Source organism: Homo sapiens, chromosome 5 (assembly GCF_000001405.40).
Source record: "Homo sapiens chromosome 5, GRCh38.p14 Primary Assembly".
NCBI lineage: Eukaryota > Metazoa > Chordata > Mammalia > Primates > Hominidae > Homo > Homo sapiens.
The window spans coordinates 94,571,544-94,597,364 of NC_000005.10; the positions used below are offsets into that span (position 1 = coordinate 94,571,544).

The 25,821-nt window shown below is 38.0% G+C and overlaps 1 protein-coding gene and 1 pseudogene across 33 annotated transcripts in view, besides 1 other annotated feature; one reads left to right on the forward strand and one right to left on the reverse strand.

Moving 5' to 3' along the window:
- KIAA0825 overlaps nucleotides 1-25,821 on the reverse strand; it is a 467,754-nt gene that overhangs the window by 420,693 nt on the left and 21,240 nt on the right. For 30 of the 33 annotated variants that reach the window (XR_948246.3, NR_169751.1, NR_169752.1 and 27 more), the window contains one exon: nucleotides 10,890-11,040. The exons of the other annotated variants lie outside the window; for them this stretch is intronic. The gene's annotated coding sequence lies outside the window, so the exon portion shown is untranslated. The remainder of the gene's footprint in view (nucleotides 1-10,889; nucleotides 11,041-25,821) is intronic. 33 annotated transcript variants of the gene reach the window in all.
- Nucleotides 1,642-2,427: an enhancer, noted in NCBI's record as "OCT4-NANOG-H3K27ac hESC enhancer chr5:93908890-93909675 (GRCh37/hg19 assembly coordinates)". NCBI's record gives its function as "activates a minimal SCP1, AML or CMV promoter by ChIP-STARR-seq in naive H9 embryonic stem cells {active_cell/tissue: H9 hESC(naive)}" and the evidence as "EXISTENCE:reporter gene assay evidence [ECO:0000049][PMID:30033119]".
- On the forward strand, nucleotides 20,885-23,333 carry LOC100533629 (FAST kinase domains 1 pseudogene; annotated as a pseudogene).

The window sequence follows — 25,821 nt, forward strand, 5'->3', positions numbered from 1 at the left end:
AGTCATGCCTGACAGAGTGGTATACAAATGTACCTTCTGTGGCTAAGTATTAAAAGGTAATATTTTTAGATGTGGTCTTAAAATAAAACTGTGTATTAGATGTTGCTGCCTCTTTCACAGATTTAAGTCTTGTTTTCATGTGGTCAGTTATACCATTACAGAGTCATCATGGTGGATGGTAAGTGTCAACAAACATTTTATGAGAGTTATACATGAATTATTTCCAGCAAATCAAGGAAATTCAGTATTGTCTGATAAATGTACACTGATATTTTGTTTTGTTATCACTGTTGCTAAAAAGGATTATTATAAAATAAAAATACATTATCCAGTAATAAAATAAATAAGTAGTTGTAGTTTTATACCATATGATACATGATAAACAAAACCTTTTTAGTGGCCGGGCACAATGGCATGTGCCTGTAGTTCCAGCTACTATGAGACTGAGGTGGGAGCATTGCTTGAGCCCAAGAGTTCAAGCCTGTGGTGTGCTAGTAGTGTGCCTGTGAAAAGCCACTGCATTCTAGCCTGGGCAACATAGTGAGACTCTATCTCTTAAAAAAAAAAAAAAGCCCCACAAAAAAACCAAGTTTGGACTATATTCACTCTATGGCAAGAGTAAATAAAGACTGGGAAATGTACAATCAACTGACCAGGGCACGGGCACATCAACTGGCCAGCAGGGCTGGCAGCATTAAGTACTTCTGCTACTACCATCACCCAAACCTGAAGGAGTTAGCTGTACCTAACTGCTCATGTCTGAGTGTATTCACTTTATCAGTAAGCACCCTTCATGCTGTTCTTGAAAAATATGTTTTACCTTACAATCCTTCTGGAAAGGATCTAAAAAAGAAAAATGGGCTATTGGCAATTTAGCCACATGTTAAAGTATGAGCTTCATTCATTACACTGCAGACTCACATATGAACCATGTCACAATTTAGAAGTACACAGTATAGGTCAACCTAAACCTATTCTGGTTTATTTATATATAACTGTTAAATAATACTTCACTCAAAAACGAAAAATCTGCAATTCATTAAAAATTATAATCTACCTTTCTATGGCATGACATGGAAAGATTTCCAGAATATTATATTATTTCATTTAAAAAATTGTAGAACTATATATACAGCATAATACAGGATATTTTTGAAAAAACAAACTATCCCATAAAATAAAGAATACACACTAAACTATTAGCAGTGCTTATCTGTGGGTGATAGAATTAAAAAGGGACAGCAGAAAGGGAATTTTAATTCTTTATAATTGATTTTTGTTTGATATGATGAGTGTCTCACTTTTGACACCTAAGAAGTAAAAAATGAATAAGAACAATATAATAAGTGTTGGCGAAAAGAATCAAACTCTGTAAAACATTTGAAGAGATTTATTCTGAGCCAAATATGAGTGACCATGGCCCATGGCACAGCTCTCAGGAGGTCCTGAGAACATGTGCCCAAGGTGGTCAGGGTACCGCTTGGTTTCATATATTTTAGGGAGAAATGAGACATCAATCAAATGCATCTATGAAATACATTAGTTTGGTTCAGAAAAGCGGGACAACTCAAAGCTTGGGGGGGTTGGGGGGGTTGTTCCAGGTTATAGGTAAATTTACACATTTTCTGGTGACAATTGGTTGAGTTTGTCTAAAGACCTGGGATTGATAGAAAGGAAATGTTCAGGTTAAGATAAAAGATTATGGAGACCAAGGTTCTTTTTAAGTGTTTTTTTTTTTTTTTTTTGAGAGGGAGTCTCACTCTGTCATCCAGGCTTGAGTACAGTGGCACAATCTCGGCTCACTGCAACCTTCACCTCCCAGGTTCAAGGAATTCTCCTGTTTCAGCCTCCCTAGTAGCTGGGACTACAGGCATGTGCCACCATGCCCAGCTAATTTTTTGTATTTTGAGTAGAGACAGAGTTTCACCATGTTGGCCTGGCTGGTCTCAAATTCCTGACCTCAAGTGATCCACCTGCGGAGGCCTCACAAAGTGCTGAGGTTACAGGTGTGAGCCACCAGGCCCAGCCTCTTTTGGAAATTTTACAGTGGCTGCTGTTAGAGTCAACAGATGACAAATGTTTCCTATTCAGATCTTTAAAAGGTGCTAGACTTTTAGTTAATCTCTTCAGGATTGGGAGGGCCTGGAAGAAAAAGATCTAGCTATGTTAATAGAGATTCTTTACAGATGCAGATATTCCCCCACAAAGAAAGGCCTTGCAGGGCCATTTAAAATATGGCAGGGAAACATGTTTTGGGGTAAAATATTTTGCTTTTCTTTCTTTTCTTGTAATGTTATCCAGAGTCAGATTGGAAAGTCATGATATATAGAGTTAAATAAAACCCATCTGATAAGAATTTCTGGTTTGTAGGGCATGACTCCCCAGACCTCTTAGAAATTTGGGCAAGATAAAAAAAAATCAGACCTTAGTCCTCATAAATATTACAAGGCATTAGCTAATGGTGTATCAACTGAGTGATACAAGTATCAAATAATCTAGCAGTCCTGCAGCAGGGAGCTCCCTATGGGCAGATGGAGATAGGAAAGGCAAGCCCCAAGAAAAAGGAAGGCAAAGGATTTCCTAAAGGTTGGGAGCCAGTGATCTTCCAATATCCATAGCTTCACAGGCCCCACAGTTGGAGACATTTTAATCTCTCACTATACATAGGTTCAAGCCCTCTCCAACTTGAGGAACGATCCACAACTAGTAAAGAAAGGATGGCCGGGCGTGGTGGCTCATGCCTGTAATCCCAGCACTTTGGGAGGCTGAGGTGGGAGGATCACAAGATCAGGAGTTCGAGACCAGTCTGGCCAACATAGTGAAACCCCATCTCCACTAAAAATATAAAAAATTAGTCGGGTGTGTTGGTGTATGCCTGTAATCCCAGCTACTCAGGAGGCTGAGGCAGGAGCATCGCGTGAACCCGGGATGGGGAGGTTGCGGTGAGCCAAGATCATGCCGTTGTACTCCAGCCAGGGTGACAGTGTAAGACTCCATCTCAAAAAAAAAAAAAAAAAAAAAAGAAAAAAAAAGAAAGGACATAAGAAGTCCCAGACATTAACTTTAGAAGTAGATAATGTGTCAGTCTGCTTATCTCCCTGCTGTTTCACAACCTCAGCTCTTACTAACTTGATTATTGCCAATATATAATTATGTCTTCATTTTTTTTAAATTAATTTTTGTTAGTTTGTCTTTTTAGAGTCAAAGTCTTACTTTGTCACCCAGGCTGGAGTACAGTGGTGCCAGTATAAGCTCACTGCAGCCTTGAACTTTTTAAACTCAAGCAATCCTCCTGCCTCAGCCTCACAAATAGCTAGAATTAAAAGTATGAGCTACTATACCCGGCTCTGGTTCTCATCTTGACATTTCTATGTACTGGGATCCCACTCTTAAACCCCATTCACAGCTACCTGCTCCAGTTTCATGGACTACCATCAACTGGGGGCCCTTGTAATTAAAGTGATGAGAACATCCCTGGGGCATCAATGGAACTGTTTTGGAGAACCAGAGCAGAAAAATCATGGATGAAAATAGTGAAAGATAAAATTGAAGAGGTATGCTATGGACAGATATTTTAAGGCCTTTTTATTTTTTCTCTCTAGGAGGAAAATATTTGGACTTTATCCTGTACATAAGAGGGAGTCAAAAATGTTTTTTTACTAAGGCAGCACACGACTAGTGTTTTATAAATATTTATAAAACAAGGTGTTAAGATGGTTTGGTGTGGGGCGAGACAACAGAGAGAGGAAGATCAATTAGGAAGATAATTAGTAGATATGAAGGTGATGATAAATAGGAAGAGGATGTGGCCATGACGGAAAAAAAAAAAAAGATAGATCTGAAATGACTTTCCAGGATATGATAGATAGCTTGGGGCCACTGAGTGAGGCAGACAGTTACAACTCAGAGAAAACCAGGCCGCTGTTACATGTTCAGGCACAAACAAGCTTGGGCTTCAGGCCCAATTCACCAGAGAAACTAAACAGGGCACATGTGAAAATTATAAAATCATGTTAAGAGGCAAAAGGATGGTGGATTACATTATCAGAAACTAGCAATAGTAAAGCCAAAGTATGGTTCTCCCTGAGCAATAAAAATCAGCGTGGAAGAAGACCAATTATGACAGTAGTGACTAAAATAAAGAGGTGGACATTGTCCATGCAATGCATATTTGATATCAAAGGCTTTTCTGGTCTTGGTAAAGGCAGCCATAGATACCATACATTGCATACACATGCCGGCCTTTGGCTGAGGAGTGGGTGACTACTATGTTTGCCCATAAGGATTTCTGCAGGCCAGGGACCCAGGATAGACCAGAGTAGAAAGATGAGGCTATAAGGAAGTTTATGCAGTAAGGGATAAATTATTACAAAGAAAATTCTTTATGTTTAATCTGAATGACAGAATGGTAGCTCATGAATAGATTTTAAAAATTTAGGAGGAAAATAGTGGTAAGAAGGCATAGCAAATTAGTGTTAGACATAATGATTTTGAGTAGGCCGTACAAGTGGAAATGTTCAGAATACAGAGGAAGGTGATATGTGAGAGAAATGCATGAGAAAAGATAGTGCTCAGATGTCACACTATAGTTCATGAGACTAAGATGTAGCCAATCATAACAAAGTATTATTTTTCAATCTTTAAAAAAACCTTAACATATATACAAAATAAACACAAGGGTGAATAAGAGAATCAACATTTATAGCAGTGTATCATGTTGCTATGGTTTGAATATTTGTCCCCTCCAACACTGATGTTGAAATTTAATCCTCAATGTGGCAGTATTGAGAGGTGAGGCCTTTAAGAGGTTATTGGGTCATGAGAGCAAAGCCCTCATGAATGGAGTAATCCATGCATGAATTATGGATTACTAGATTAATGAGTTAATAGATTAATGGGAGTGGGACGGTGGTTTTATAAGAAGAGAATGAGAGATTTGAACAAGCATGCTCAGCCACGTCACCATGTGATACCCTGTATCACCTCTGGACTCTATGTACAGAGTCCCCACAAACAAGAAGCCTCTAACCAGATGTGGACCCTTGACCCTGGACTTCTCAGTTTCTAGAACTGCAAGAAATACATTCCTTTTCTTTATAAATTGTCCAGTTTCAGGTATTCTGTTATGAGCAACAGCAAGTGGACTAATACACATGTACTAATAAAACTAAACTAACTTACATTGCTGCTTCATTACTTGGTGAGAGAAGAGACATCTACTCACGGAAGAATCTATTTACTCAATAATGGCACCTTACATTTATAAATTATAATAGTTGTCTACTAACATCTCCTTAAATATGTAAGTTACAGAGCTAATAAATGAGATGACCAAGATTTTAGTTATAATTAAAAGAAAAAATTTAACTCTTCTTAAAAAAAAATTTTGTTCAATTTGTTGGATAATGACGCACTGGTTTAAAAGATGCACAGCAATTTAACGTATGTGTGTACACACATATCTCAAAAGAAAGCTTCACAAAGCATTACTTACTCTTAATACTTGCTCTTACATTTTCTATTCTATTGCTTTTCATTTTTTCATTTTTTTCCTTTTTAATACTGCCTATAGCTTCTAAGTTGATTTCAGCATCTATAGTTTGGCTTAGAGATTTTTAGATTAAAAAGAGACATTTATGATCATTTTATAGAACCATCTGTAAAGCTATGATTGAAAAATCCAGAAGAGATATTTTTAAGAAAATGTAAAAAAGAAAAAAACCAGAAAATGAATGGTTGCGAGCTACTAACAGAGTGGGAAAAGAGACAAAGGATAGATAAAATCAGGTCATAGGGTGGACAAAGACAGTATCAAAGAGGACAATGTTGCAAAAATGAATGTGAAGTCAACAAAAGCTTATTTCAATACCTGTCTTTACCTTTACTGCAGGGTATTTCGAAGTGTAGTCCAAAACTAATTTAAGCCAAAATACCAGGGACACTTGCTAAAAATTCAGATACCTGGGCCCCATCCCAGACCTAGTGAATTAAACTCTCTTTGGCAATTGAAAAGTTTCCCAGGGCATCCTTTTAACTAAGTATTGTTATCTCAATTCCTTTTACAAATCAGCTTTCAAAGTGGTACTTTCCAAAAACATGCCAACTCACTTCACACATAGGTATATTTCTGAAAAGTTGTTAGGTGAGTACTTGTACACCAAACCATTATTCCCCTAAAGACTATCATGATCATTTCAGAATTATGTTCATCCAGAAAGAAACAAACCAGATTGGAGACCATTCAACCTTTAAACAAATATTCTTTATTTTTCTGTATTACTTATGTAAGAGGTTGACCAAATGGACTCACATACTCATTATTTTTACTTAGTTTAGAAGCATGTATATTTAAAATTACAACATACTGTTAACACATTCCATTTTGACTTTGAACACTTTGAACTAATTGCACTAAACTTAACTGGTTAATTATCATAATCAAGTGGCATTTAGCAGAACTCACAAACAGAAAAAGTGCCACAGGAAGACAGTTTTCAGAAAATACAAAAACTGAGGTTTGTGGTTTGGACTCTTAACAGCAAAGATATCCCTTTATGTGGTGAGCTCTGCTAACAAAAAGTATTTGTCAACTTCTTGCCAATAGATAGCCAAGAAGTATGAGATGTGAATCTATTCAATTCAAAGATGGAAATAACAGGTAAGAACAACAGTAGTTAATATTTATTCACTTATCTCATTAGAGGTTTCCTTCTAAATCCTTTATATGCATTAACTAATTTAATCCTTACAACAATTCCGTAGACTGTGGCTTTAGACCTCATTTGAGGATGCTGAGGTATAGAATTATATAATTTTCCTGAGATCCCACAGCTAGAAATAGGAGGTGAGATTCAAAACCAGGCAGCCTGTCTCCAGAATCTACATTCAAAGACAGTGGGATACACTAGGATTTTAAGAAAGTCTTAGATGTTGGAACAATTACCTGCCTCTATATAAATGCTTTCTGTTTATGTTTTTTTTCTGTTCTTTATACAATTGATTTTAAGATAAATTGTGACTACCTTGCATCCCTGCTTATGTTTAGTTACTAGATCTCATTATAATGCTCTTGAAATATGACAGGAATTCCAAAATTAGCATCAAATAGGAATTCAGCATCATACAGAAAAATAAAAATGTATTTTAAAAGATACTTAATTCTAAATTTAAGGGCAGAATAGTATAGTGGTTTACAGGCTGTGCTTCTCAATTTTTCATGTGCCAGTCACCTAAGTACATTGTTAAAAATGCAGATTTTCAGCAGCTCTGAGATTCTGCATTTGTAGCAAGTTCCTGGGTGATGGTAACACTGCTGGCCTGAAGATTATATTTTGAGTAGGAAAGGTTCAGAGTTCAAACTCTGGAGTCACACTGCTTATGTTTCTTTCTTTTTTGAGACAGAGTCAGACTCTGTCACCCAGGCTGGAGTACAGTGGCATGGTCTTGGCTCACTGCAACCTCTGCCTCCTGGGTTCAAGCGATTCTCCTGCCTCAGCCCCGCCCCCGTAGCTGGGACTACAGGAGCGTGCCACCACACCCGGCTAATTTTTGTATTTTTAGTAGAGACGGGGTTTCACTATGTTGGCCAGGCTTGTCTTGAACTCCTGACCTCGTGATCTGCCCACCTCGGCCTCCCAAAGTGCTGGGATTACAGGCGTGAGCCACTGCACCCAGAAACACACTGCTTATGTTTCAGTCCCAGCTCCATTACTTACTAGTTATATAACCTTCTCCTTATATACCTCTACTACATCCGTAAACGAGTGAGAACATTAAAGGGTTGTTACCAAGATTACATGGGATAATCCATAGATAGTACATAGAGCAGTCTCTAGCACATAGAAAGAACTCAATAAATGTTATCTCTTAGTGTTATTGAAAAATATTAAAAGCATATATTGTATCCCATTAGAAAGCCATTTATAGAATTGATTGATCTGGCAGAAACACTAAATAAAATGTCATCATTCTTTTCCAGGCAGTCACAAGAACATCACCGTACAATGAAGGACATTAAATACGTAAGTTAGAACCACTACCCAGCTTTATTAAATACATAAATCTGAAAGTGCTCTAAATGAATTTGCATAAAGCTGGCTTGGTCTATGATATTTAAAGAGCATATTTTGTTTCTATGCCAGAAAACTTTTCTATATTGCAGGTATACACTGAGTTCCAATTCATTTATTTGAATAGCTTCCTCTGAATTTCAAAACAGGCATTTTAGTTTAAAAAATTTTATTTCAATGAAATATATGTCAGTACTAGTATTAATAGCAACAATAACAATGATTTTAAATATTTGTTCAAGGAAGAACACTGCTATAGTTTAAATAAATTCAGAGGATTTAATCAATGCCTTCACAGACAACTGTACACATATTCAAACTTAAATACATTGCAACACAATTACTTCTCGCCTTTGAGAACTGAGACTTAAAAGAATATTATTTATCAAAAATGTGGTGATTTAATAATAATGCTATATCAGAGAAGCCAATGTGTAGGAAAAGTAGAGTTAGGACCACAAATGAAGATAAAATTTCATAATAACTTCCCAATGAAAACTGTAGGAAATTTATTTCAACATTGTTGAAAAATAAAGACATAGAAGGAATGGAGTACATTAGAAAAGAAAGACTAATGTTTACCCAGTCATTGATTAAAACCAGAGCCAGGTGTTTCAATCAAGAAGAAGATGAGAGCTAGAAAGTGTTTTTGGTTGGTGGCTATCTTTAAGAGTCAGCAAGAAAAAGTCAATAAATAATTTGCCTATCCTTTTATCTTTTATTTTTCCAACATAGGTGATCAAAAAAACAACTGTGGTATAAATTCTATTATATTTACTTTTCTAAATTAAAACTAGATTTAACATAGGCAATACAGACCTGCCCTGTAAAATCATGACAGATTAAGAATCAAGGAAAAGGGAGGGATCTGGGTGAGTGGATTATTCTTTCTTCTCTCCCGTTTCTCTTTCCTTACAGATTGGTGTTCCTGGCTGCTCCTTTGTCTGCTGTGGTACTAGGTTTTTTAAAAAATGCATAACACGGCCGGGCGCGGTGGCTCACGCCTGTAATCCCAGCACTTTGGGAGGCCGAGGCGGGCGGATCACGAGGTCAGGAGATCGAGACCATCCCGGCTAAAATGGTGAAACCCCGTCTCTACTAAAAATACAAAAAATTAGCCGGGCGTAGTGGCGGGCGCCTGTAGTCCCAGCTACTCGGGAGGCTGAGGCGGGAGAATGGCGTGAACCCGGGAGGCGGAGCTTGCAGTGAGCCGAGATCCCGCCACTGCACTCCAGCCTGGGCGACAGAGCGAGACTCCGTCTCAAAAAAAAAAAAAAAAAAAAAAAAAAAAAAAAAAAAAAAAAAAAAATGCATAACACATAAGATTTTACTTTCATTTTACTTTCTATGACAAGTGTTACTTTAAAATAATAAGATTTTACCAAAAACTCTGCATAACAATGCTTTATATAAAGGACTACCAGATGTAGTTTCCAAGGCAGGGCTTACCTGTACTCAATTATATCAAATAAGCATTCACAAAATGAAATTAAACCTGTGCTTTTAGTGAAAAAAAAATCAATAGTGAAACATGTGGTTCTTTATATCTATAGAGGTGATAACACCAACAAGATCAAATCATTAGGATTAGAGGTACAAGAGGAATAAAATTTGAACAGAATTATACCAACGTCATGTCTTGTTATTTGGGTTTACATTTTTCTTAATCAAATACTGAAAAACAAAAATTTACTGAAAATGCCTAAGCTAACTGTTTTCCATTTATAAATTAGCTGTCTCTCACCTCCAGAGGAGCAAGGAATTCCACTTCTGTATGACCTATTTATGCCTCTTAGATTTATCACATGCATTTTTTAATGACCCTGAACCAAAGGAAATGTAGAAACCTATTTGAAAAGTTGACATTAAGGTTGTGACACCAACCAAAACAACAAGAATTTAAAGTTAAACTGACACACAATCCCCAAATCAGTCTGTTATACTCCTAATTTAAAAAACAGTTCTAATGTGAAATCGTGATAGCATGTCAGCCTTTGCTTTGAAACTCCTGAATTTTGTCATTTGGTGTTTGTGTCACAACCTTAATATTATTTAAATATACTTTTTAATATCTATTATTTAAAAAATATCTTTGAATTGAAGATACTCTAAAGCTTTGAAGAAGCCAACCTCAAAGCACTGCATTCCCAGCATGCCACTTTTATTAGAAGTAGTGCATAAAACATTTGCTGTTGACAAATCTAATTCATTAAAAGGTGAGGTGGATGCATTTTAAAATAACTGGCTGGCATCATTATCTGCAGTGCCTTTTATAAATTATTCGTCTTTTCCCTTTTGACTGAACTTGTCACAGTTCCCTTTCAGAGTCTGAGTGTTATGCCTTATAGTCAATGCTTTCAACTTGTTTAGACAAGTCACAAGTTAAACAAGCAGTGGTATTTTATTTTCTGGAAATAAGAAAGGGTAACAGAAATATGAATTATTTCATTCAATTCATTGATTTTGAACTAAAGACAAGTAAAGTCAGTTAGTGGTGGTTTTATCTCACAAGAATTTAAAAATAAAAGTATACTGTTTGCATAGAATGGGGAATTTCAAAGAAAGGAACATAAAGAGAGATGCCGGTGGCCCTGCTGCAGTGTTGTGTAGAAGACTTGGTTAAAAATCAAATTGTGCTTTCCCTAACATTGGAGATCAGGTAAATCATAAAGCCGACAGCTGGCTGGCACACTAACTTCCTAAAGGAGAAAGCTAACTGTATTCTCTTAGAGGCCAAAGGAATAGAATTATAGAAGCTTTCAAGGAAACTGAGTAGGCATAGTATAAATTACTCAAAATATGAAGAAAAACATTTCTTACCTAATTTTATTTCAGAAGACACTAAGAATGAACTGGTCTTCGAATCCTAAGGAGGTAGAAAATTATTTCCTGAAGAGTTGTCAGCAGAAGAACTGTCTCTTTTCTAGTAACTTCAGCAACGTTTTTTTTTCCCAAAGTATGTAAAATGTACCTGAAAAATGATTGCATAAAGCTTTATCACTGCCACAATGGGATGGAGGGCATATTCACATTAGTTGCCCAGATTGCTAGTGACAGTACTACCATTAAATCATAACATATGGACTTGAGTCAGGAAGAAGAGATGTTGGAAATACACAAAAACATCCTGAAGATTACATACATAAGAAAAGCTTATTAATAAGATAGTCCATAGACTGCAGCAACACAGGTAATAGGGGCACCTTGGAAAATGCATATTTAAAACATTCCTTATATTTTCACTAAAAATTGATCACTCCTAAAGAAATTTATCACAAAGAGAGTAACGTGTGGTTGCACCATATAAAACAAGCAATGTTATTCAATCCAAATACTTTTTTTCTTGTTTAGTTACTATTTGCTCCAAATTATTTATTAAAACCGTCTTTTCCCCATTCTTCTGGGTGATCCTGTTAAAAACAGATTGCTGGGGGAGGCGCTTCCAAGATGGCCAAATAGGAACAGCTCCGGTCTACAGCTCCCAGCGAGATCGACGCATAAGACGGGTGATTTCTGCATTTCCAACTGAAGTACCTGGTTCATCTCACTGGGACTGGTTGGACAGTGGGTGCAGCCCATGGAGGGTGAGCCAAAGCAGGCCGGGAAGTGCAAAGGGTCGTGGGATTTCCCTTTCCTAGCCAAGGGAAGCCGTGAGTGTCTGTACCTGAAGCAATAGTACATTCCTGTCCAAATACTGCACTCTTCCCATGGTCTTTGCAACTGGCAGACCAGAAGATTCCCTCTTGTGTCTGGCTTGGTGGGCCCCACACCCATGAAGCCTTGCTTGCTGCTAGTGCAGCAGTCTGAGATCGACCTGGGATGCTGGAGCTTGGCAGTGGGAAGGGTGTCAGCCATTGTTCAGGCTTGAGTAGACGGTTCTATGCTCACAGTGCAAACAAAGTGGCCCAGAAGCTCGAACTGGGTAGAGCCCACCACAGCTCAGCAAGGCCTACTGCCTCTCTAGATTCCACCTCTGGGGGCAGGGCATATATGAACAAAAGACAGCAGACAGCTTCTGCAAACTTAAACGTCCCTGCCTGACAGCTCTGAAGAGAACAGTGGTTCTCCCAGCATGGTGTTCGAGCTCCAATAATGGACAGACTGCCTCCTCAAGTGGGTCCCTGACCCCTGTGTAGCCTGACTGGAAGACATCTCCCAGTCAGGGCTGACAGACACCTCATATAGGCAGGTGCCCCTCTGGGACGAAGCTTCCAGAGGAAGGATCAGGCAGCAATGTTTCCTGTTCTGCAGCTTCCACTGGTGATACACAGGCGAACAGGATCTGGAGTGGACCTCCAGCAAACTCCAACAGACCTGCAGCTGAGCAGCTGAGGGGCCTGTTAGAAGGAAAACTAACAAACAGAAAGGAATACCATCAACATCAACAAAAAGGACATCCACACCAAAACCTCATCCGTAGGTCACCAACATCAAAGACCAAAGGTTGATAAAACCACAAAGATGGGGAGAAACTAGAGCAGAAAGACTGAAAATTCCAAAAGCCAGAATGCCTCTTCTCCTCCAAAGGAACACAACTCTTCACCAGCAAAGGAACAAAACTGGATGGAGAATGAGTTTGAGGAGTTGACAGAAGTAGGCTTCAGAAGGTTGGTAATAACAAACTTCTCCGAGCTAAAGGAGCATGTTCTAACCCATCGCAAGGAAGCTAAAAACCTTGAAAAAAGGTTAGACGAATGGCTAACTACAATAACCAGTGTAGAGAAGAGCTTAAATGACCTGATGGTCTTGAAAACCACAGTACGAGAACTTCGTGAAGCATACACAAGCTTCAATAGCCGATTTGATTAAGTGGAAGAAAGAATATCAGTGATTGAAGACCAAATTAATGAAATAAAGCGAGAAGACAAGATTAGAGAAAAAAGAGTGAAAATAACTGAACAAAGCCTCCAAGAAATATGGGATTATGTGAAAAGACCAAATCTACATTTGATTGGTGTACCTGAAAGTGATGGGGAGAATGGAACCAAGTTAGAAAACACTCTTCAGGATATTATTCAGGAGAAATTCCCCAAGCTAGCAAGACAGGCCAACATTCAAATTCAAGAAATACAGAGAACACCACATAGATACTCCTCGAGAAGAGCAACCCCAAGACACACAATCGTCAGATTCACTAAGGTTGAAATGAAGGAAAAAATGTTAAGGACAGCCAGAGAGAAAGGTCATGTTACCCACAAAGGGAAGCCCATGAGACTAACAGCAGATCTCTCTGCAGAAACCCTACATGCCAGAAGAGAGTGGGGGCCAAAATTCAACATGCTTAAAGAAAATAATTTTCAACCCAGAATTTCATATTGAGCCAAACTAAGCTTCATAAGGGCAGGGGAAATAAAATCCTTTACAGACAAACAAATGCTGAGAGATTTTGTCACCACCAGGCCTGACTTACAAGAGCTCCTGAAGGAAGCACTAAACATGGAAAGGAACAACTAGTACCAGCCACTGCAAAAACATGCCAAATTATAAAGACTATCAATGCTATGAAGAAACTGCATCAATTTATGGGTGAAATAACCAGCTAGCATCATAACGACAGGATCAAATTCACACATAACAATATTAAACTTAAATGTAAATGGGCTAAATGCCCCAATTAAAAGACTCAGACTGGCAAATTGGATAAAGAGTCAAGACCCATTGGTGTGCTGTATTCAGGAGACCCATCTCACGTGCAAAGACACACAGGCTCAAAATAAAGGGATGGAGGAAGATCTACCAAGCAAATGGAAAGCAAAGAAAAAGCAGGGGTTGCAATCCTGGTCTCTGATGAAACAGACTTTAAACCAACAAAGATCAAAAGAAACAAAGAAGGCCATTACATAATGGTAAAGGGATCAATTCAACAAGAAGAGCTAACTATCCTAAACATATATGCACCCAATACAGGGGCACCCAGATTCATAAAACTAGTTCTTAGAGACCTACAAAAAGATTCAGACTTCCACTCAATAATAATGGGAGACTTTAACACCCTGCTGTCAATATTAGACAGATCAACGAGATGGAAAATTAACAAGGATATCCAGGACTTGAACTCAGCTCTGGACCAACCGGGCTTAATAGATATCTACAGAACTCTACACCCCAAATCAACAGAATATACATTCTTCTCAGCACCACGTCGCACTTTTTCTAAAATTAACCCCATAATTGGAAGTAAAACACACCTCAGCAAATGTAAAAGAACAGAAATCACAACAAACTGTCTCCCACACCACAGTGCAATCAAATTAGAATTCAGGATTAAGAAACTCACTCAAAACCACAAATCTACATGGAAACTGAACAACCTGCTCCTGAGTGATTACCGGGTAAATAATGACATGAAGGCAGAATACAGATGCTCTTTGAAACCAATGAGAACAAAGACATAACATACCCGAATCTCAGGGACACATTTAAAACAGTGTGTAGTGGGAAATTTATAGCACTAAATGCCCACAAGAGAAAGCAGAAAAGATCTAAAATTGACACCCTAACATCACAATTAAAAGAACTAGAGAAGCAAGAGCAAATAAATTCAACAGCTAGCAGAAGACAAGAAATAACTAAGATCAGAGCAGAACTGAAGGAGATAGAGACATAAAAAACCCTTCAAAAAAATCAATGAATCCAGGAGCTGGTTTTCTAAAAGATCAACAAAATAGGTAGACCACTAGCCAGACTAATAAAGAAGAAAGGAAAGAAGAATCAAATAGATGCAATAAAAAATGATAAAGGGGATATCATCACTGATCCCACAGAAATATAAACTACCATCAGAGAATACTATAAACACCTCTATGCAAATAAACTAGAAAATCTGGAAGAAATGGATAAATTCCTGGACACATACACCTTCTCAAGACTAAATCAGGAAGAAGCTGAATCTCTGAATAGATGAATAACAAACAGGTTCTGAAATAGGCAATAATTAATAGGCTACCAACCAAAAAAACTCCAGGACCAGACAGATTCACAGCCAAATTCTACCAGAGGTACAAGGATTAGCTTGTATCATTCCTTCTGAGACTATTCCAATCAATAGAAAAAGAGGGAATCCTCCCTAATTCATTTTATGAGGTCAGCATCATCCTGATACCAAAGCCTGGCAGAGACCCAACAAAAAAAGAGAATTTTAGACCAATATCCCTGATGAACATCAATGCAAAAATCCTCAATAAAAAACTGGCAAACTGAATTCAGCAGCACATCAGAAAGCTTATCCAACATGATCAAGTCACCTTCATCCCTGGAATGCAAGGCTGGTTCAACATATGCAAATCAATAAATGTAATCCATCACAGAAACAGAACCAATGACAAAAACCACATGATTATCTCAATAGATGCAGAAAAGGCCTTCAACAAAATTCAACAACCTTTCATGCTAAAAATTCTCAATAAACTAGGTTTTGATGGAACATATCTCAAAATAATAAGAGCTATTTATGACAAACCTACAGCCAATATCATACTGGATGGGCAAAAACTGGAAACATTCTCTTTGAAAACTGGCACAAGACAAGGATGCCCTCTCTCATCACTCCTATTCAACATAGTATTGGAAGTTCTGGCCTGGGCATTCAGGCAAGATAAAGAAATAAAGGGTATTCAATTTGGAAAAGAGGAAGTCAAATTGTCCCTGTTTGCAGATGACATGATTGTATACTTAGAAAACCCCATTGTCTCAGCCTAAAATCTCCTTAAGCTGATAAGCAACCTCAGCAAAGTCTCAGGATACAAAATCAATGTGCAAAAATCACAAGCAGTCCTATACACCAAGAACAGACAAACAGAGAGCCAAATCATGAGTGAAATCCCATTCACAATTACTATTAAGAGAATAAAATACCTAGGAATCCAGCTTACAAGGGATGTGAAGGACTTCTTCAAGGAGAACTACAAATCACTGCTCAACGAAATAAAAGAGAGAACACAAACAAATGGAAGAACATTCCATGCTCATGGATAGAAAGAATCAATATCGTGAAAATGGCCATACTCCCTAAGGTAATTTATAGATTCAATGCTATCCCCATCAAGCTACCAATGACTTTCTTCACAGAATTGGGAAAAACTACTTTAAATTTCATATGGAACCAAAAATGGGCCCACATAGCCAAGACAATCCTTAGCAAAAAGAACAAAGCTAGAGGCATCATGCTACCTGACTTCAAACTACACTAGAAGGCTACAGTAACCAAAACAGCATGCTACTGGTACCAAAACAGATATAGATCAATGGAATAGAACAGAGGCCTCAGAAATAACACCACACATCTACAACCATCTGATCTTTGAGAAATCTCACAAAAACAAGCAATGGGGAAAGGATTCCCTATTTAATAAATGGTGCTGGGAAAACTGGCTAGCCATATATAGAAAGCTGACACTGGATCCCTTCCTTACATCTGACCAAAAATTGATTCAAGATGGATTAAAGACTTAAATGTAAGACCTAAAACCATAAAAACTGTAGAAGAAAGCCCGGCAATACCATTCCCGACATAGGCATGGGCAAAGACTTCATGACTAAAACAACAAAAGCAATGGGAACAAAAGCCAAAATAGACAAATGGGATCTAATTAAACTAAAGAGCTTCTGCACAGCAAAAGAAACTATCATCAGAGTGAACAGGCAACCTACAGAATGGGAGAAAATTTTTGCAATCTACTCATCTGACAAAGGGCTAATATCCAGAATCTACAAAGAACTTAAACAAATTTACAAGAAAAAAAGTCCCCATCAAAAAGTGGGCAAAGGATATGAACAGACACTTTTCAAAAGAAGACATTTATGCAGCCAACAGACATATGAAAAAATGCTCATCATCAATGGTCATCAGAAAAATGCAAATCAAAACCACAATGAGATACCATCTCACACCAATTAGAATGGCAATCATTAAAAAGTCGGGAAACAACAGATGCTGGAGAGGATGTGGAGAAATAGGAATGCTTTTACACTATTGATGGGAGTGTAAATTAGTTCAACCATTGTGGAAGTCAGTGTGGTGATCCCTCAAGGATCTAGAACTAGAAATACCATTTTACCCAGTAATCCCATTACTCCGTATATACCCAAAGGATTATAAATCATGGTACTATAGAGACACATGCACACATATGTTTACTGTGGCACTATTCACAATATCACAGACTTGGAACCAACCCATATGTCCATCAATAATAGACTGAATAAAGAAAATGTGGCACATATACAACCATAAAAAGGATGAGTTCATGTCCTTTGCAGGGACATGGATGAAGCTAGAAACCATCATTCTCAGCAAACTATCACAAGGACAGAAAACCAAACACTGCATGTTGTCACTCATAAACGGGAGTTGAACAATGAGAACACACGGACACAGGGAGGGGAACATCACACACTGGGGCCTGTTGGCGGGTGGAGGGCTGGGGGAGGGATAGAGTTAGGAGAAATACCTAATGTAAAAGTGCCGCAAACCAACACGGCACAGGTATACCTATGCAACAAACCTGCACATTGTGCACATGTACCCTAGAACTTAGAGTATAACTAAAACAAAGAAACAACAACAACAAAAAAAACAGATTCCTGGGAATCTTGTTAAACATGGGTTCTGATTAAGTTGATTTGGGGTTGGGGCCTGAAATTTTGCATTTCTAACAAGGTCCCAGGTAAAGCCACTAATGGTGTGGGTCCATGGACTACCCATTCACTAATAAGCTTCCACTAATCTATTTGTCTTTTCCTGCAGCAAAGTCTACTATTGTTATTCTTGGCTATTGACATTGCCTTTCCATATAATTTTAAAATCTTTTTTCAAGTGTTTGACCCTCCTCACCAAAACAAAGAGAGTTAGGAATTTGACAGAGAATGCTTTGAATCTCTATCAAAGTTGGGCAAATGTATAGCATTGAGTTTTCCAAATCATGTGTATTGTATATAATTTCACTTATTGAGGTCTTAATATTACAAAATAACGCTCTATTACTTTCCCCATGGGAGTTTTGTACATCTCGTTGTATTTATTTCTAGGCACTCCATATTTTGATTATATCTCCTTGCAAAAACTTTTCCCTTTTTTGTATATATGTATTATGTGTATAATTTTGGTAGGTTGATGTGTTCATCCAGGATATTTGATAAACTCTTATTTTTTCCAGTAGTTTTACATCATGCACAAATAATGAGCTTTATTTCTTTATTTCCAAAATCTGTACTTTATCCTGTCTCACTTTAAAAAAAAAAAAAGCAAAAAAGGTCAAACAGCAAATGCATGAAATAATAGAAATAGATGGCTATTTTGTTATCTATGATCAGCCAACATGATCTCTCGGTTAGGTTAGATTTTCTAGGAAATGGATATGAGGTAGACTCCAATGGTTTCTTTTTTTCTTTGTTTTTGAGACAGAGTCTCACTCTGTCACCCAGGCTGGAGTGGAGTGGCGCAATCTTGGCTCACTGCAACCTCTGCTTCCCAGGTTCAAGCGATTCTCCTGCCTCAGCATCCCCATTAGAGTAGCTGGGACTACAGGCATGCGCCACCACACCTGGCTAATTTTTGCATTTTTAGTAGAGATGGGGTTTCGCAATGTTGGCCAGGCTGGTCTCGAACTCCCAACCTCAAGTGATCTGTCCGCGTCAGCCTTCCAAAGTGCTGGGATTACAGGCATGAGACACAGCACTCAGCCTCCAATGGTTTCTTATACCATTTATTTGTCCTCATATTGCCTGTCTTTCTATGGTGTCTGGTATACAAGTCCTTAAATATTACTAACATTCATTATCCCAAGCCAAATTCCAGTTGATATTTAATCAGAAATGGACACGAACTCTCAAGGACAACAGCCACACTGAGAAGTAGTTGAAAAGCAAAAGGAAACAGTGGCATTATCATGAGGAAAATGGTTCCATTCAATCTAAGAACTAAGGTGAGGATGCCAATGTGAGGAAGCCATTACTGAGATACTGCAAATCACCTATACCCCATAGCTGAAATCACAAGGTTTCTTGTAAAATCAATACATAACTGAAATTGCTTTCTTGATGACAATGTCAGCCGGCTTTAAAGCAAACTGTGCTTCTTCATAGCTTTCAATTATTTGACAAAGGAAACAATTAGACTTACTATTCCACACATTGTCAATGTTGGTAACATTGGTTATCTAAGGAAAGGCAAATGTGTGTGATGCTGGGATAAAGGAATGCATAAAGAGAAAAAAGTAGTAACTAAAATAATAATAACCATAATAATAAAAACAGTTTCTTTAAAAACATTTCCATAATCTACTGCAAACAGCAATTATGAAAAAGGAGAGCAATGTAGAAAATGTTTAAAAGGAGAGGAAAACAGGACTAAAAAGCAAGTACACATTACGTTAAAACTGTTTAAAATTATGTGAACAAAATTTCTGGTTAGGAAGCTCAAGCAGCATACATTTTCCTTCTGTCCCTCCAGATATACCTTAAAAAGGTAAAGAAGTTATATTATGGAGAAGAGAAATATAAACCCACAAAAATGAAGAGTCATCATCACAAATTTATAAAACACAGACAGATGAAAGAGAATTCACAGAAGAAACAGAATAGAAAAAGCCAAACTCTAAAATGTATGCAAAGAGGACTGTAATTAAAAGAATGACCTGATATCCATGGCAGAGAGTGGAGTAAAAAGTGAAGCTAAAAAACACAATCAATTGAAGGTTTGCTCAAGAAACAATGAATCTCCCTTCCTTACCTTTTAGTGCAAGCCACTACTTTGTATTTTCTTTGTCTTTAATTAAAGATCTGACTGTGGGTAAAGGGAAATAAATGCAAGAAATGATATGCTTCAAGACATGAATTAAATGTCTACAAAACTATGAAAGCATGGGCATGGGTACCCCCCAAAAAAGCCTGCCTCATTCTGGTCTTTAGCTGACTTTAGCATACTGATCATTACCAACCTATTCATTTAAAGCAAAGTATACCAGTAAAATCAGTGTTATCCAAATAAATTCTATGTAGTTTTAGATTTTCTTTTTTCTAATATGAATGCATAGCGAAGGACTACTTGACTGACATTCAAAGAAAAAATGGTTTTTCACATTAGAGACTGTATTAGTGCATTTTCACACTGCTATAAAGAAATACCCGAGACTGGGTAATTTATAAAGAAAAATAGGTTTAATGGACTCACAGTTCCACACGGCTGGGGAGGCCTCACAACCATGGCGGAAGGTGGAGAAGCAAAGGCATATATTACATGATGGTAGGCAAGAGAGCTTGTGCAAAGGAACTCCCATTTATAAAACCATCAGATCTCATGAGACTTATTTAGTATCATGAGAACAGCATGGGAAAGACCCACCCCCTTGATTCCATTACCTCCTACTGGGTCCCTCCCATGACATGTGGAAATTATGGCAGCTATAATTCAAGATGAGATTTGGGTGGGGACACAGCCAAGACATATCATTCTGCCCCTGGCCCCTGCCAAATCTCATGTCCTCACATTTCAAAACCAATCAGGCCTCTCAACAGTTTCCCAAAGTCTTAACTCATTTCAGCATTAACTCAAAAATACACAGTCCAAAGTTTCACCTGAGATGAGGCAAATCTCTTCCACCTATGAGCGTATAAAATCAAAAGCAAGTTTGTTACTTCCTAGATACAGCAAGGGTACAGGTATTGGGTAAATACACCCATTCCAAATGGGAGAAATTGGCCAAAACAAAGGAGCTACAAGCCCCATGCAAGTCCAAAATCTGGCAGGGCAGTCAAATCTTAAAGCTTCAAAATAGGTGACTTCTGCAGTGCATGCTGCTCTCGCTGGGCATTTTTTCCTGGTCTGGGGGCAAGCTCTATCATGGGAAAGGTGATGTCTCTCGAGGAAAGGCTATGACTCCTGGGATATGAGGGTTGGGTGAGACAACCAAGACAGTTGCATTCCATGTTGGGACCAGGAATAACCCTGACTTCTGATCTCTCATAACCCCAGGAGCCTCCAGAAAAGTTGCAGTGTGATGATGGAAAACCTTGCTGAAGCTGTACATTGGAATGGGTTTACAGTTATCGTAATGGAAGCAAAATACACGAAGGAAAAACAGTTCCTTTTATCCCTGTTTGTTGCACCTGACAACTAGTTACAGACGGTTTTGTTTACCTAAGAAAATTTGTGATGTAAATCAAAAAACATCTGTTTGCCTAGACTCATTGGTTACAAATATGCTTCGGCTAAGAGCTATTTGTCCATTCTCCTGGACTGTGTTTCAATTTCGACTCATCAGTTGTGAACCACTCATTATTCAGATGAATAAGTGTATAGATGAGGAGCAAATATTTGATTTTATTGAAAGAAACAAAATCATACTTTCAGAAAAACAAGTGGGATGTACATTTAATATACTTTGGAAGCTTCAAAAGCAGAAGATCAGTCTATTAAAAAATGTTGAGTATGTCAGAGACCATTCTCAATTTCTTACTCTTCATAATTTAGCTACAAATAAATTCAAATTAATGAATGGCAATACCCTGGTGAATGTGTTATACATCACACAACAGTTTGCTGGTGAGGCCCACGATCCGCTAGTTGAAGCACTAGTTACAGAAGCATGGGGTAGGCTAGAAAGGTTTGATATTAAACTGCTGTCAGAATTTTCCTCTTGCTTAGCAGATCAGCATTTGTATTTTAGTCCATTAATGGGAAAAATAGCTGATATTGTCCATAGGAACTTGGAAACCATCCAGAACTTAAGTTCCTTGTCTGTCTTGATGGTCAACATATCTTCTTTAATATCACGACATTTTCAAGAACAACTGGTGAACAAAACGGAACTTGTTTTTGACACCACAGATTCTTCTGAGGTCAACGTTGCAAAAAGAATGGTACAGTTTCTTCGAAACTTTAGATATCATTATCAACCACTATTAGAAAGCTTTGTAAAGTTTTTTGTAGCATTGGGACCCATTGCAGGACCTGAAGAAAAGAAACAACTTAAATCAACTATGTTATTGATGTCAGAGGAGCTAACCAACGAGTAAGCCCTGGTAGTGTTGGGAACAATGGAAGATATAGAAAGCAGAAATTCATGTCTGATTAAAAGAGTTGCTTCAGTTCTGCACAAACATTTGGATAACTATAAACAATTAGAGTTGTTGAAGATAACTCAAGCATTGACTTTTCTGCATTTCCAAAGTAGGGAGTTTTTTTGTGAAACTTGGAGAATTATTGCTTAGTTATTTGAAAATTAGTTTCATACCAACTGAGATGTCCATTCTGGCCTCTGCTATTTCCCTGCTCCCTTCTCCTCATTTGGACGAAGTGGGAATATCCAGAATTGAAGCAGTTTTACCACAGTGTGACCCAAATAAATCCATCCATTTAGAATCCTTGCTATTACTCTTCCATTCAGAATTTTTAACTATGATCCACCTCAAAGGGATGAAGTTTTTGGAACTTGCGTGCAACATCTTAATTTCTACTTAGGTATATTGGATCCTCTTATGTTAGTGTTTCTTGGTTTCTCTTTGGCCACACTTGAATATTTTCCTGAATATCTGCTAAAGGTAATTTTAATATCAAATTCTTAGCTAGACTGGATTCTCAACTTGAAATTTTATCTTCATCTCTAAGTGCAAGAGTCCAGTTTTGTCTTATGGAACTAAATAGATCAGTCTGCTTGGAATGCCCTGAGTTTCAGATCCCATGGTTTCTCGACTGCTTCTGTCAGCAATATAATAAAGGTATTGCTGGCATGAATGTAGCACAACAGCAGATTTATAAAATGTTAGCAGAGGTACTAGGAGGAATCAATTGTGTAAAAGCCTCAGTTCTTACTCCTTATTACCATACAGTAGATTTTGAGTGTATCTTGGAAGAAAGAAAAAAATCTCTTCTTTATGGAAGCCATAATATAACATTGGGACAACTACCAGAAATGCCCTGGGAATCAAATACTGAAATAGTTGGATCAAGGCTGCCACCAGGAGCTGAAAGGATTGCTTTGGAATTTTTGGATTCAAAAGCATTTTGTAGAAATATCCTTCACATAAAAGGAAAATCTTCTATGAAAAAATGACATTTGGAATTTTTGGGCTATCATATAATTCAGATTCCTTGGTTTGAATGGAACTCTATGGCACTGTCAACAAAGGATGCTTGGATGGACTACCTGAGAGAACATGCATTTAGAGAAGTCGAATCATGATTGTAGTTTTTATTTAAAATGAGTGTTATCATGTGTCACATTTGGACTTATTTTAATTAAGTGGCCTGACTCAAATAAAAAATAGTAGATAAAAAAAAAAAAAAAGCTCCAAAATAATCTTCTTTGACTCCATGTCTCACATCCAAGGCATGCTGATGTAAGAGGTGGGCTCCCACAGCCTTGGGCAGCTCCACTTCTGTGGCTTTTCAGGGTATAGTCCCCCTCCTGGCTGCTTTCAGAGGCTGGCGTTGAGTGTCTGTTGCTTTTCCAGATGCAAGGTGCGAGCTGTTGGCAGATCTACCATTCTGGGGTCTGAAGGATGGTGGCTCTCTTCTCACAGTTCCACTAGGTAGTCCCCCAGTGGGGACTCTGTGTGGGGGCTGCCACTCCACATTTCCCTTCTGCACTGCCCTGGCAGAGGTTCTCCATGAGGGCTACACCCCTGCAGCACACCTCTGTCTGGACACCCATACATTTCCATACATCTCTGAACTCTAAGCAGAGGTTCTCAAAGCTCAATTCTTTACTTTTGTGCACCCACAGGCTGATAACCATGTGTCAGCTGCAAAGGCTTGGGGAATTGCACCCTCTGAAGCAACGGCCTGAGCTGTACGTTGCTCCCTTTTAGCCACAGCTGGCATACAGGGCACCAAGTCCCTAGACTGCACACAGCAGCAAAGCCATGGGCCAAGCCCACGAAACCATTTTTTCCTCCTAGGCTTCCCCACTTGTGATGGGAGGGGCTGCTGTGAAGATCTTTGACATACCCTGGAGACATTTCCCCATTATCTTGTCGATTAACATTTGGCTCCTCGTTACTTACGCAAATTTCGGCAGCTGCTTGAACTTCTCCTCAGAAAATGCATTTTTCTTTGCTATTGCATCAGCAGGCTACAAAGTTTCCAAACTGTTATGCTCTGCTTCCCTTTTAAAAATAAGTTCCAATTCCAAACCATCTTTCTGTGACTATATAAAACTGAATGCTTTTAAGGGCATCCAGGTCACATCCTGAATGCTTTGCTGCCTAGAAATTTCTTCCACTAGATGGTCTAAATCATCTCTCTCAAGTTCAAAGTTCAACAAATCTCCAGGGCAGGGGCAAAATGCCACCAATCTCTTTGCTAAAGTATAACAAGAGTTATCATTGCTCTAGTTCCCAACAAGTTCCTCATCTCCATCTGAGAACACCTCAGCCTGGACTTTATTGCCAGATGTATAGTTTGCAAATATTTTCTCCCACTCTGCAGGCTGTCTTTTTACTCTGTTGATGGTTTCTTTTGCTGTGCAGAAGCTCTTAAGTTTAATTAGGTACTATTTGTCAATTTTTGCAATTGCTTTTGGCATCTTTGTCATGACATCTTTGCTACTTCCTATGACCAGAACTGTATTTTCTAGGTTTTCTCCCAGGGATTTTATAGTTTTGGGTTTTACATTTAAGTCTTTAATCCATTTTAGTCGATTTTTGTACATCATATAAGTAAGGGGTCCATCTTCAAACTTCTGCATATGGCTAGCCAGTTATCCCAGCACAATTTATTGAATAGGGGTCATTTCCCCATTGCTTGTTCTTGTCAACTTTGACAAAGATCAGATGGTTGTAGGTGTGTGGCCTTATTTCTGGGCTCTCTATCCTTCTCCATTGGTCTATGTGTCTGTTTTTATAGTGTAACATGATGTTTTGGTTACTGTAGCCCTGTAGTAGTTTAAAACTGACTAACTTGATGCCTCTGGCTTTGCTCTTTCTGCTAAGGATTGCCTTGGCTATTTGGGCTCCTTTTGTTCCATAGGAATTTTAAAATAGTTTTTTTCTAGTCTCTGAAGAATGTCATTGGTAGTTTGATAGGAATAGCATTAAATCTGTAAATTGCTTTGGGCAGTATGACTATTTTAATGATATTGAGTCTATCAATCCATGAGCGTGGAATGTTTTTCCATTTATTTGTGTCATCTCTGATTTATTTCATCAGTGTTTTGTAATTGTCATTGTAGAGATCTTTCACCTCCCTGGTTAGTTGTCTTCCTAGGTATTTTATTATTTTTGTGGCAATTGTGAATGGGACTGTGTTCCTGATTTGGCACCATGCTTGGTTGTTGTTGGTATATAGGAATGCTAGTAATTTTTATATGTTGATTTTGTATCCTGAAACTTTGCTGAAGTTATTTTATCATCTAAAGGAGTGTTTAGGCTGAGACTATGTCGTTTTCTACATATAAAATCATGTCATCTGCAAACAGGGATAGTAAGACTTCCTCTCTTCCTATTTGGATGCTGTTTCTTTCTTTCTCTTGCCTTATTGCTCTGTCCAGGGCTTCCAATACTATGTTGAACAAGAGTGGTTAGAGATGGCATCCTTTTCTTGTGCCAGTTTTTAAGGGGAATGCTCCCAGCTTTTGGCCATTCAGTATGATGTTGGCTGAGAATACACATTTTTGGGCAACCATCAAGAACATTATCCAAAATAGACCATGTACCTAGGTCATAAACAAGTCTCAATAAATTTTAAAAGAATATAATCATAAAACATATGTTTTATCAGCACAACTGAATTAAATTAGAAATCAATAGCAGAAAG